General features: G+C 45.4%; 1 protein-coding gene across 45 annotated transcripts in view; it reads left to right on the plus strand.

The window, feature by feature from the left end:
- The window catches only part of FHOD3 (formin homology 2 domain containing 3), a 482,508-nt gene that overhangs the window by 286,746 nt on the left and 181,937 nt on the right, over nt 1-13,825 (plus strand). For all 45 annotated transcript variants that reach the window (XM_011526189.2, XM_011526190.3, XM_017026008.2 and 42 more), the window contains one exon: nt 10,329-10,440. In XM_011526189.2, the coding sequence (XP_011524491.1) occupies nt 10,329-10,440 (112 nt within the window). The remainder of the gene's footprint in view (nt 1-10,328; nt 10,441-13,825) is intronic.

Raw genomic sequence — 13,825 nt, forward strand, 5'->3', positions numbered from 1 at the left:
TATATGGTCCAGGCAAAGGGAGTTGCTAGAACATTATAGTTAGTTCCTTGAATTGCACTATTGTCTTAAATCCATCCTTGATATTGGATGTTGTGTTTATAATTCCCACATTAATTGAATTGAAATATATTTCATTAATAGAAATTCAATTAAGACTAATTTTTTTATAATTCAGTTAATGATTACAGATTAAAGAAAAAATATGGCAACTGGGCATGGTGGCCTGTAGTCCCAGCTATCGGGAGGCTGAGACAGGAAGATCCCTGGATCCCAGTTCATGATCAGCTTGAATAACACATAGACCCCTTCTCAAAAAACTAAAATAGCTAAAGTTTACTGGTATAATATGGAAATCTTGATAGTAAAAAATAACTTTTTAAAACATTTACTGAATTTTTTTGTGATTACAAAAATAACATACTCTCTTTGTATAAAACTTTAGAAATACAAAAAAAGTAAAATAAAAATTACCTAGAAACACTACCACATAAAGATCATCATTTTTTGGTACCTTTTCTTCTGATTTTTTAAATTTTTCTTACAAAATTAACTCTGAGTATATTATAAGCATTTCCTTTGTTACTACAAAATTTTTAAACTACAATATTTAATGCCTACATAATATACAGTCATATGAATGTACTATTATTCATTCGACTTTTCTCATCTTGTTAATCGAATTGTTTCCAATGCTGTGCTGTGTTTAAAGAGCTTTGTTTCTAATGGCATAAAAATATGTTTAGTGAATGAGGTTGTGTTTGAATTTTTGCATGTTTATCAACATTATATTCGATGAGATTTCTAAAATTCCATGGGTTTTAATGGCATAGTCATGTAATATTTGTGTTGGAGTCATTGTGGGTATAAAGTGCCAGCTTCTTCATTAGGGCTGTTGCTCTTCTACCGGCCACTTGGCTGTGCATACCCAGAACACTCATTCTCACTGATTTGATATGTTAGAGTCCCCCATGTGAGAATAATCTCAGTAGGAAAAAAAAGGGAAAAAGCAAGTTTTACTAGTTATTGTTTTAGGAAGACCTCAGAGTGAGAGAGAAGTGATTCAGGCCAGGCCTCAAAGAGGGCAGCAGGCTGAGGGGGCCCCACTGTCCAGACAGGTCTCCAGACACAGGGCTAAACAGCAGTTTCTTCCATTCACTCTGAGATGATCATCTTCAGGGAGCTGATTGTGGTTCCTCAATTCTTAAGAGGCTTGCTGATAAACCAGAATTTTAACTTACAAAGACATTATTTTTGTGAACGCAAGAAGCAGAAACTAAGGGTGCACCTTTGACTCTTCTGCCCCTGTAGCCCAGGGCAACCAGATGAGTTTTAGCAGTTGGAGGAAGAGTAGAAGTGGGTGGCTCTAATCTGGAAGAACATTTAGGGAAATGCAGAAACACCAAAGTAGGCAGCATGCTGTTCCTTCCAGAGAGATGTTCTGCCCTTTTCTAGGAGAGTTGGATGAGCAAGAGTACCAGAAGCAGCACAGGCTTCTGGGAGCCTGCAGGGTTCTGCCACTCTCTACTCTAGCCCCCATCTGCCAGCCCTTCTCCCCCTACTCCAAAGAGATGTGAGCTGCCTGCCACACTCTTCTAACAGCACATTTGCCAAACCTGGGTTTTAGCTGTTCATTTTCATGTTTCCAGGGCTGGTTATTTACTTAAGAGAGTTCTTTCACCTTTATTGTTACTCAGAAGATAATATTTGTCACATTTTCCCAAGGCTTAAGTTTTTGCACCAGAGTGAAAGATGGGAACCTCCATAGTATAGTGGAAAGAATCAGATTGACCTGGGTTTTTCTTTAACTTCTTCCAGAAATGGGCTATGCGACAAGTTACATAGCCTCCTTAGAATGTGAAGTTTTGTATTTGAAAATGGGAATGCTGCCAACTGGAAAAGTACCCAATCTTGTTGATTTCCCTCAACCACGAATTTCATTCTGCATATACTATCAAGATGCTCCTTCGGGCAATATCTTAGTGCAGGGATTTTGGTATTCCTTAGTAAACAATAAAAGATGTGCATGTTACTTTTTTTTTTTTTTGAGACAGAGTCTCACTCTGTCGCCCAGGCTGGAGTGCAGTGGCACGATCTCGGCTCACTGCAACCTCCTGCCGCCTCCTGGCTTCAAGTGATTCTCCTGCCTCAGCCACCTGAGTAGCTGGGATTACAGGCATGCGCCACCATGCCCAGCTAATTTTTGTGTTTTTAGTAGAGACAGATTCCACCATGTTGGTCAGGCTGAACTCCTGACCTCGTGATCCTCCCACCTCGGCCCCGCAAAGTGCTGGGATTACAGACATGAGCCACCGTGCCTGGCCGCGTGTTACATTTTGTCAATTATTCATAATTACCTTGAATATCTGAAGAGAAAGTTAGCCAAGTGGATGTTTTCTGACTCTTGCCCACTTTTATTAATGGTTCTTTAAAGAAGCTCTTACTGACAAAGCCAGTCCCCAAAAAAGGGGGGTCTTTCCCTGATTGGTGCTGTGAAGCCAATACACAAAACCAAAAGTGAGCACCAAGCAGTACAGGCTTTATTCGATGGCCATGGAATTGAGAAGTGGAAGCGTGGTTCACAAATCAGCTCCTCAGTTCGAGAGAGTGGGGAAGTCACAGATACAGGGCATCTTCAATGAAGGGGTTGGGGCATTAAAAGCAAGGGAAGGAATAGTCATGTCTTTTCTGGAGATGGTGGGGGGAACTTCTCAAAGTAGAATGCCACTTTTCTTTTTGTCCTTTTATGGTTTCTTCTCATTGTTGTCATGGTGATTATCAACTGTCAGGGTGCTGGTGGAAGTGTCCTTTTGCATGAGAGTTAGATGATAATGAAGTTAGAAACTCTTCAGAGGCCAAGTGAGCGGCCACCCTGGATCCCAGCAGTCGGAGCCAGTTTAGTCAGGAGGGGGAGCTTCTGACCTCAGGCATCGTATTTCCCAAAGGTAAGCAGAGTTAAGGTAGGATAGAAATTCACTTGGTCATGTAGGCGATTTCCGGGGTAACACAACCTTCATCTAAGCCCCAGAATTTTATCTCAATAGAGAAAATGCCAGCCAGGCGCGGTGGCTCACGCCTGTAATCCTAGCACTTTGGGAGGTTGAGGAGGGTGGATCATCTGAGGTCGGGAGTTTGAGACCAGCCTGACCAATATGGAGAAACCCCATGTCTACTAAAAATACAAAATTAGCTGGGCTTGGTGGTGCATGCCTGTAATCCTAGCTACTCAGGAGGCTGAGGCAGGAGAATTGCTTGAACCCTCGAGGTGGAGGTTGCTGTGAGCTGAGATCGCGCCATTGCACTCCAGCCTGGTGCTGGAAAAAAAAATAGAAGAAGAAAATGCCAATTTGTAGCACTATTTATTGTTATTTTTAATTATTTTGAGTTGTCTGCTATATTTTACATTCTGTAAGATTTCCTGTTCGCTAGCAAAATCCTAAGGGCTACCCAGCCTTACACTTGGTTACTATACCTTCTGCAAATTGCATTGTGTCATAAGCAGGTTGGCCATCAGGCCCTGAGGCTGGACCACATGGGTTCGGTGCTCATGACTTCCTGTTCTGGTGGATGTGCCAACCATAGTCTCCACACTCTCCCTTGAAGGACACCTGCAAAACAAGACCCAGAGTTCTGTACTTAGTTAATATGTTTGGGCCTATACTTTATTTCTGGTAATATACACCTCATGTTACAGATAACCTGTTAGAGGTCGGGAAGGTTGAGATTTGGAGTCTGGGATGTCTGTTGGATTGTTTGATAACCAGTTACGAAGGCTTTAGGGCACACTCTGAGCTGCTTGCTCAGAAATTCTGAGCTTAAGTATATGGCATTGAGATACAATGTTTAAATAAAGAGTTTGTATCCTAAGTCACTTGAGATCTTTTTTTCTTTATAGTAATACTTGTATATTCTAAAGTGCTGATGAGCTTGTAAACAATGTGGTAAAACTTTATAGATCAAGTTATCTTACCACTTTCGAATTCAGTTTTAATAACCAGCATCCATTTATATAACATATATTTATGATGTTTTAGTGGAAAATGAAACAAATAAAATGAAGCATGGTTTTCCAACCCCCTTTGTAATTTCAATCTTGAGGTTTGGAAATTGTTTTCTTTTTTGGCTGTTGAATTTTTAGAAGAGAAATTAGGAATTTGAAGATTTTTTGGAATTCTTTTATTTTTCCTTAACGAGCAGCATATTTGACCTGCTAAGTATAGTTCTTGTATTTCTGTAAGTGCAATAAAAGATGAAAGGACTTCCAGTTTGTTTTTACGTGTAAAAGTATTAAGAGACTGTCTTTTTATTACCTTCCCACATATTTGGTGATTACATTTTATCTGAAATCTAGATACACAGGTTCTGTACAGGCAACTCCACACTCTTCCTGTGGGTTGACCTAGAAAATAAAACAACAGCAAGAACAAGGCTCTTTGTTGACACCATCCTGCTACCCTTCCCTCCAGCCCAGCCTCCCTGTCGCAGAGCTGACATTGAGCCCTGTGTTATTTATGGAATATGGAGGTTCAATCCCTGGACTGAGGCTTGACTTGACAAATGTTACTTCCTTGGGTCAAGAGGAATCTCTGGTCCTCTGAAGGCTTTTAGCCTTTATTTTGAGAGTGCAAAATGATAGCTGCAATAGAAAGTAAAGCTCAGCTCAGTAACCCCCAAAATGTGCTAAATCATTATGAAATGTGTAACAATTCACAGCCATCTGTATATTCCTGCTTTTGCACCCCCCGTATGCAAGGGGATTATTTCAGATTTCTGTTATATACTGTGATTTAGCTGCATGCTTTAGAACAACATAAACATAGTCTTTATTATAACAGACAACTAAAAATGGAATACTAGTATTTCCTAGATTGTAATTAAAGAAAATGTAGGTAACAGAAAGCCCAAAGGCTGGATCTAGAGCTCCAGTGTGTTTCTCCAGCCCAAAGAAAGTGAGGTTGTTTGTGTGAACAGGACCCCAAAAGCCATCACATGGTTCTTTTGCTCCATGGAAGCTGGAAAGGGCTGGCTGGATCCAGTTCTGAGCCTTGCTCTCATCTACAATGCCGGAGCTGTCCTCTAAGAAAGCTCTCTGTTTGCATCTGTCCTCAGCAACCCGGCACTCAAGACGCTGTTGAAAGTAGAAGCAGAGAATCTTGGATTCGCAGGGACCTTACATGGGGTCAGCCAGTCCACCCTCTGCAGGCTCTGAACTCCTTCTGCAAAGGCCTTAGTAAGTGGCCGTGCAGAGCCTCCAGAGACAGCGAATCTACTCCCTCTCCACCAGCTTGGTTGTCTTGAGACCACTGATGCTGATGCTGCCTGCTTGTTGCCCTGTACTCCTGTGTGACTGCTTTGTGACTGCTGTGTCTTCCATGGCCTTGGATGCTCCATAAGAATGAGAATCAATTCCAATTGATTTCTCTCGGTGCTGGACAAATGGGCAGGTGCTTGAGCCTGTAAGTTGTAGTGAAACCCTTCGTTACCACGTGAAGGCATGCCAGGCAAAGCTGGAAATCAGAAAGTTCAGATTGGAGTGATGCTTTGCTGACATGTCTGGGCCACACTGTGGTGTGTGCTCTGGCATCCTTGCAGCTTGTTCCACTCGCCTCGTTTGTGACACTCTCTCTTGCTGCCACACTGGGCCTGCCTCTCCTTCTCCGTCATTATCCTCCCCGATTTGCCTCTTCTCAGCAGACGTGGGCTGTGAATCTTAATATCCACTCCATTTATTATAAAATGTGTCTAACATAAGCGCAAGGGGCACCAAGGGTGGATTTTTAAGAGCTATGGGATGAGCAGTGTCTTTGGACTTGGAGAGGGTGTGTGGCCTCCACTGTGGCTGTTCCAAGCTTCCAAGGGTTTTGACTGCATTCCAGATACATGAGGGCATCAGAGTAAGTGATTTCTGGATTAATGAGGTTGGCTCATAGAATTCTTTTGATGGAATGTACCTTTTTTACTTTCAAGTTGATGCAGTAATGCTAGTAAGGTACTTCTGAGGAGGATCCTGCAGGACATATTTTGACGATGAGTTAGTATGTCCTTGAAATTAGTACCATGCATTTCTACAAAATTAGTGTTCTAGTGCTCTTTTTTCCTAAAGTGATTTAACTAATATGCTTATTATTAATTTACATAGTAAAGCTTCCAAAGGTACATCCACATAAACTTAAACTCAGTAGAAGCCAAATTCATAGAAACCTAAAATTATGCATCAGAAGATGTTTGGGGATTTTTTTAAAAAAACAAATTACAGTGCCAAAAAAGCTCCAAACAGAGCCTGTATCACAGAGGAGAGAAAGACAGGAATAGGCATGTTGAGACCAATAGAAAAAGGAGGCTTTGCTAGAAAACAGTGGTTTCTTAATTAGAGAGCCACATGTAGGAGAATGGCTTAGGGATTCTGGGTGCCTGAGACCGTATCGGTCAAGGCCCCTTCACCACAGAGATACTCAGAGGGAGCCTCTGTGAGGTGGGCTAAGGGGCCTTGCTGAGACCAGCTAATGGGGGGAGTGGGTTGGGCAGCAGCCAGGTTCTTTCCTGGGGAGGCATTTAGAGGCTTAAACCACATAATAATAGTCCACCCACTGAGGAAGTTGCCAAGCCTGAACTTGCTAGGTCTTTTTATTTACTTGAAGAAATTTCTTCAGCCCTAAACGTACAAAGCACAACTCGTGATGCCATACCTTCTCCTTCAACCTCCAACCGTGTAGTTGAGAAAAATACACTGGAATGTAGTCTATTCCTACAGAATAGAAGCAGAGAAGCAATCGTGGGCCTCAAGTTATGAGGGCAGATACTCTCCGAAGAGTTCCCAGCACTCTAAAGTACTCAGCTCCCTGTGTGGGGAGGAGGTTACCTCCAGAATGGCAGCCCAGGGCATGACTTGCCCTCATCGCAATGGTTGGGGCGGAGGCGGGGCTTGGCTTTGCTGGGGGCTACTACGAGGTGAGAAAGGGAGGCTGGGGGCTGGGAGGGCTCACTCCACACAGCATAGAGGGATGGATTCAGAGGACGGGCTGGCCTACCCTTCACACATATGCTGACTGAACAGCTCATGGGTCAGATAAAGCCTCTTCGCTGCTGTGAAGCTTACATTCTTAGAGGCAACAGAGGCATATAGTAGGTGAACAAGCGTCTGTAGCAATTTCAGGTCATGATAAAGGACGTGGATAGAAAAGGCCGAGTGTAGTGGCTCATGCCTGAAATCCTAGCACTTTGGGAGGCCGAGGTGAGAGGTTTGCTGGATCCCAGGAGTTTAAGACCAGTCTGGGCAACATAGAGAGACACTATCTCTACAAAAAAAAATTTAAAGAAAATTAACCAGATGTGGTGGCATGTACCTATAGTCCAGTTACTCGAGAGGCTGAGGTGGGAGGATGACTTCAGCCCAGGAGTTTGAGGCTGCAGTGAGCTGTGCTTACACCACCACACTCCAGCCTGGGTGACAGAATGAGACCCTGTCTCAAATGAAACAAGGTGGCTGGGCACGATGGCTCATGCCTGTAATCCCAGCACTTTGAGAGGCCGAGGCAGGCAGATCACCTGAAGTCAGGAGTTCAGGACTAGCCTGGCCAACATGGCAAAACACCTTTTCTACTTAAAATACAAAAATCAGCCAGGCATGGTGGTGCGCACCTGTAGTCCCAGCTATTCAGGAGGCTGAGGCAGGAGAATCACTTGAACCTGGGAGGTGGAGGTTGCAGTGAGCTGAGATTGCACCACTTGCCTCCAGCCTGGGCAACAGAACAAGACTCCATCTCAAAAAAAATAAATAAATCAGGGTGATGTGTTAGTGACCAAGGGGCTCCTTTAAGTAAAAGAGTCAGGAAGGCATTTTCTATAATGAGAATTTCTCTGATCTGAAGGATGAGGTCAGTCCTGTGATGACTGGTTCCAGGTGGCTTTCAGGCAGAAGGAATAACCAGTGAGAAGACGCTGAATCATGGATGAACTCTGCTGTGTGAAAAACGCTCACACAACTGTAGAGCTTAGCATGTGAAGTGCACTGGGCCGGAGAGGGGGTGTCAAGAAAGGAGATCAGAGGGCTTGGCGGAGGCCAGCACAGAAAGCCTGCTGGGACAGGCAGCACCCTGAGCATGATGGGGAGTGATTGAGGCTTGAGAGAAGGAGGGTGCAGTGTTCACTCTGGCTGCGGTTTGGAGAATGGACTTCAGAAGGACCAGGCCAGAGCACTTAGGCTCTTCCAGCACTGGTGGGTGGATTTGCTGTGGAGATGGGGTGAGGGAAGTGCAGGCAAACCCTTCCCAGTGCTTAGGGTGGTGGGGCTTTGTCCTAAGGTGGGGGCTTTGGAGGGAGCAGGCTGGGAGTGGTAGGTGGAAGGGGGTAAGCATGAATGAAAATTGAGAGTTCTGTTTTGGCCACAGTGAATCTGTTAGCATCTGAGTGGAGATGTCAGGAGATTATATGATGCCTGCTCAGGAGTTTGGTCAGGCCTGGAGTGCAATATTTAGCATCTGATCTTAGATGGACTTTCAAACCAGGGCACTGGATGAACTCACCTAGAGAGTGTGGAAAGAGAGAGGAGGAGAGTAAAGAGGAGTGAACTCAGAGGTCTTCCCACACTGAGAGACTGAGCACCCAAAAAGAACCAATGAAAAAGGAGCCACTCAGGAGACTTTGGTTGCCCAGAGGCAGAGGAAGTTGTTTTTGGAGAGAGCAGTTAGTTGTCACATGGTGCTGAGAGTTGAGCAAAAATGGGCAGAGAAGTAACCACTGGATTTGATACCATGGAGGCCACTGGACAAGTAATCCCAGTGGTGGTGATGGAAGTCCTATCATATTGGGGTGATGAGTCAGTGGGAAGTTAGGAGGTGGAGCCAGGGGCTGTAGCACCTCTTTGAAGAAGTTTCCTCATATAGGGGAGCTGAGCACCTGGGCACTGGCTGGAGAGAGATGTGGAATTGAGGAAAAGACAAATGGTGTGCTTGGTAGGTATGACAGCAGAGGAGAGGGAAGCAAGGGGGTAAAGGGGTTGCATGAATGTGGATGAATGACTTGGGGTGAGTGGTGTTTTTAAGCTATTCCCTGTGGACTGCACAACACAGTCCCCTCTTTGGGATCCCCCAAATTTACCTATAAATTCTACCCATGTCCCCTAACACTGTGATGTGGGCAGATGTGTCTGAGAGGCACAGAATCTTCCTTGGGCTGCAGAACACAGGAAGTAGCTGGAGCTGATTTGCTACAACCAGTGATACAGGCTCAAGGGGTGGGCGAGAGGTCATGGATTGATTGACCTGGTCACTGACTGATTTATTCAGTCAACAAACACCTTCCAGCTCCCTCTGTGCCAAGTGCCATTCCAGGCCCTGCAGCCACAGTGCAAATAAGCCCCCTCAAAGCGCATTTTGCCCATAGCGGGATGGGGCCACTGACAAGCCAGCAGCTTGGGGTGGAATGTACAGCCCGAGGCAACCTTGCTGTTTCTCGGCTGCACAGTTTGAATCCATTTGCAGGAGGTGTATGAGTTCCTTTAGGAGGAGGCTTTTGGAAGGAAGTGGAGTCAAGGGCAAAATTGTGGGCAAGTCCCTGCAGCAGCACCTAAGGGGCCCCGGAGGCTGACCCAGAGACCCCAAGGCTGCCGCAGCCCCAGGGCTGGTAAAGCTGGGGTTAGAAATCTGTGGCAGCTTCAGTTGGGAGGTTTGGGGTTTTCTGTAGGTGAATAACCTGTGACCTCCCCGAGGGTGCATACTGAGGGAGGGCTTCTGCCTGTGTGAGGGAAGGCCTCTGGGCTTCATGTGGCTCCTGGCAAATGCTGAGCCCTGGATCCAGGGAGTAGGGGTTCTATGGCTCCAGGCGGCCTTCTCTGCTTGGCTTTAAGAATGGGGTACTTGGTTCCGGTTCCCTTCCACCTAAGCTGGCTGTTGTGACTTTGGATGACTTGTTTAACCTGCTGTTTCTGCTTCTTCACGAGAAAAATAAGAATGGTGCTTATGTCTACCTCACAGTGTTATAGCTGGGGTAAAACGAAGACGTAATCGATTCAGCACATACTCGTGTTTGAGAGTTGCCAGGTGTGAGTTCTGGAGCCATGCGTCCTGGGTTCATGTCCTGGTGCTGTTTTTTACTGCGTGACTGCAGGCAGGGAACTTTGTACCTCAGTTTCCTCATCTGCACAATGGGGATGGTACTAACACCTGCCTTCTGAGGTGTCTAATGAGGGATTGTGAGGATCTGTGAAGGAATCTGTGTAATTGCTGAGAGCGTCTCATCTAGGAAGTGCTGGGTGCCCGCTGCGGTTAGGAAGATGCTCTCTGGTGCACAGGGCCTTGTTGGCAGTGATGTGATGGTTTTATCTCTTCTGCCAGTTCCGCCTGGTGGTGAAGACAGCCCTGAAGCTGCTGCTCGTCTTTGTAGAGTACTCGGAGTCCAACGCACCTCTCCTAATTCAGGCTGTCACTGCTGTTGACACGAAAAGAGGTGAGTAGTCCCTGCCCCCTTATGTCATGAAGGTGAAGGTGTCTAATGTAGGGAGGCTTCTGTGTTGTACATGCTTGAGACAGATATAAGAATTAATAGAATTCCCGAGATGTGGACTTCCCACTGCAAGAAACGTTTTTTAGGATAGTAAGCACACAAAGCTTAGGGCCGGAATGGGGTTTGATAATGAAAGAAAAGTGCTCATGAGCTTACCTGGGAGAGGTCAGATCCTGAGCTTGTCTTTGCCTCTACCCAGCTCCTGCCACTGAAACACAGAAGTCTAGCTCCTCCTCCTGTTCTTCCTGTCTTGTTCAGGGTTTCCCTGGCTCCTTCCTCCCCTCCCCTCTACGCTTCATTGCTTATGACCCCCAGATGTTTCTAGAACCTTCTCCCTTCCTCTCCTCCATCCCCTGCCCTGCCTTACTCAGGCCCTCACTAGGTTTAACCTATGCTCCTGGCCACCCTCCCAAACAGTTCGGTCACATCCAAAACCTGCCAGTGGCTTCCCAGTGCTTATAGCATAAAGTCAGTCCCCTGGCTAAGGGGACCCTTCACCCTTCAACTCCTGCCCAGCTGCCACCCCCTTCTCCCACCTCGGCTGTACCCCCACCCCCTTACCTTGGGCATGTGCTTTTAAAGCCCATGTATGCACCTCTTCTCTGCTGTGGTGGTGTTGCCCATCCCTGTCTCTCCAAGTCGGGGTTGCCTGCTCAAGGATGGGGTCTCTGTCTCCCAGAGTGATGTCCCAGCACTCCAGCTGGCCCAGAGCCAGCAGGCATGCTGCAAACACGTGGCGAAGAACGAGCTTCTGCTCTGGTTTACTGTGTAACGTGCTGTGGACCCCGTGATATTGGGAAGCCTGGAATTAAAATGCTTCCCAATTAAAATGATTTTTCTCCTTTTGTCTTTTGTTGTTTGTTTTCTTCCCCAGTAGGACTCAGGTATTATTATCATCATCCCCACAAAGACTCAAGAACAAAAACTTGACAATACTTTTTCTTTTTATGATTATAACTGTAATACTACTGTTACAATCATAAAAACTTGGGAAAAGTTTAAAGAAGACAATAAAAATTCACCTCTAGTTTCAACAAAGATAATCACTGTTAACCTGTTGGTATATTTCCTTATAGTTGTGTGTGTGTGTGCGTGCACACTATGCATAAACCAGCCAGGATGTGTCGGGAAGAAACGAGGGGCCTAAATTGCACTTTTGATTCAAACCATTTGTGTCTGTGATTTTTTTTTGTTTTTGTTTTTTGTCTTTTGTTTTTGAGACGGAGTCTTGCTCCGTCGCCCAGGCTGGAGTGCAGTGGCGCGATCTCGGCTCACTGCAAGCTCCACCTCGTGGGTTCACGCCATTCTCCTGCCTCAGCCTCCCGAGTGGCTGGGACTACAGGTGCCCACCACCATGCCCAGCTAATTTTTTTTTTTTTTTTTTTTTTTTTTTTTTTTTTAGTATTTTTAGTAGAGACAGGGTATCACCGTGTTAGCCAGCACGGTCTCAGTCTCCTGACCTTGTGATCCACCTGCCTCGGCCTCCCAAAGTGCTGGGATTACAGGCGTGAGCCAGCGTGCCCAGCCAGTTGTGTCTGTGATTTAGCATTACTCAGACCCACCTTTGAATGCTGAATCCAAATGTGAAAGAAAGTAGCTTGAGTTATTTTAGAAGTTTAAATGAAAGTTAATGAAAAGCATCCAGGACCTTTAACTGGGGCTCCTATACCCTTGAACATGCAGATAGATGTCGGCACTAGGCATGGCTGATGGCAGGCAAGGAGGCAACTCGAGGTCTCTTTGTTGGGGGTGTGTTAGGGAGGCAAACTCTAGTACATGGACGGGGGCTGTGAGTCTGGAAGGTGTTTCCCAGGCTGAGGCAAGTTTCTTCTGCCACAAAATGTTGCCCTCTGCTGCTAGGTAGAAAGACCCTTATGGCCAAGAGTAGATCATGGGGCCGGCCCAGAATCCTTGATAAGGAATGCCAATTTCACAGAAACCAGGTCTAGCATTTCCAAGGCCAGTCAATTAGGTATAAGGTCAGCAGTGTGTGTTTTGGCAGCTGGTAGGCAGCAGCTTCTCTCCTTCATCCTTGGAGGATTTGTGTTTCATCTCCTAACTCTGGCGGTTGCTTGAGGACAACTAACAAACTCTTCATCTTACTGTCCTAAGCTTCAGGTAACCCCAGGGCCCTTGCTATGGGTGTGGGTTATAGGGGCCAACGTCTCATGACCTGGGTTCTCCTTTGGCTTTGCTGAGCTTCCAGCTCGGAGTTCCCTTCCTTGAACTTCATATCCCATAAAGGGAATGTTGTGATGGATGAGGGCATGATCCTGAAATGAACCCAGGCCTTTGTGTATCATATCCAAGACTCCATCCATAGCCCCAGCCAGAGATTCTCGTCTGTCAGACCAAGTCTCTCCATCAAGATAAAACAATGGCCATCTTTTCCTGATTAGTAAAAATAATAATAATAATAATAAAAACAGCTAATGAATTGTCTTCTTAGCTTTATTGTTTTTGTTTTTGTTTTGTTTTGTTTTGTTTTTGAGATGGAGTCTCACTCTGTTGCCCAGGCTAGAGTGCAGTGTCACGATCTCAGCTCACTGCAAGCTCTGCCTCTCGGGTTCACGCCATTCTCCTGCCTCAGCCTCCCGAGTAGTTGGGACTACAGGTGCCCACCACCATGCCCGGCTAATTTTTTGTATTTTTAGTAGAGATGGGCTTTCACCGTTTTAGCCAGGATAGTCTCAATCTCCTGACCTCGTGATCCACCCGCCTTGGCCTCCCAGAGTGCTGGGATTACAGGCGTGAGCCACTGTGCCTGGACAGCTTTATAGTTTTTGTCTATACAATTTCTTAAACCTTTGGCAACTGCTGTTGTCTGTCTGCTGCTGAGCACTAGCAGCTGAAAAAAAAAAAAAAAGGAATGGCACTAATGAAAAAACTCAGAAATAGCTTATCATGTGTGGCTCAATAGCATGTTTCTTTATGGACATGTGTGGTCTTGGCTGTGATTTTATAATGCATACATATAACGTCATCCTATTCTACTGCTAGTAGAATTGTTCCTGAATCCTATGATGGAATTAAACATATAAATATGCCATGGTATTCTGCAGAGAGCAACATTACTTCCAGGTGTGTTTCCATCTAGTGGGTTTAGAAGCAGCTCTCCGGTTCCCTCTCAACTGGGTGAGAGAGCAGACAGGTGCCAGAGGTGATTTAGGGTAAACTGAGCATATCCATTTGTGCACAAGTTTATAAATCATAAATTTTACTTCTCAAAGTGGCTTTAGACTCATTCCTCAGCAGGGATGAGTGGACATATGAGCAGTTGTCTTTTTGAATAGTTTCTTTCGGATAATGAAAACTGTCAGATTTAAGG

The sequence above is a fragment of the Homo sapiens genome, chromosome 18 (genome assembly GCF_000001405.40).
Source record: "Homo sapiens chromosome 18, GRCh38.p14 Primary Assembly".
Taxonomy (NCBI): domain Eukaryota; kingdom Metazoa; phylum Chordata; class Mammalia; order Primates; family Hominidae; genus Homo; species Homo sapiens.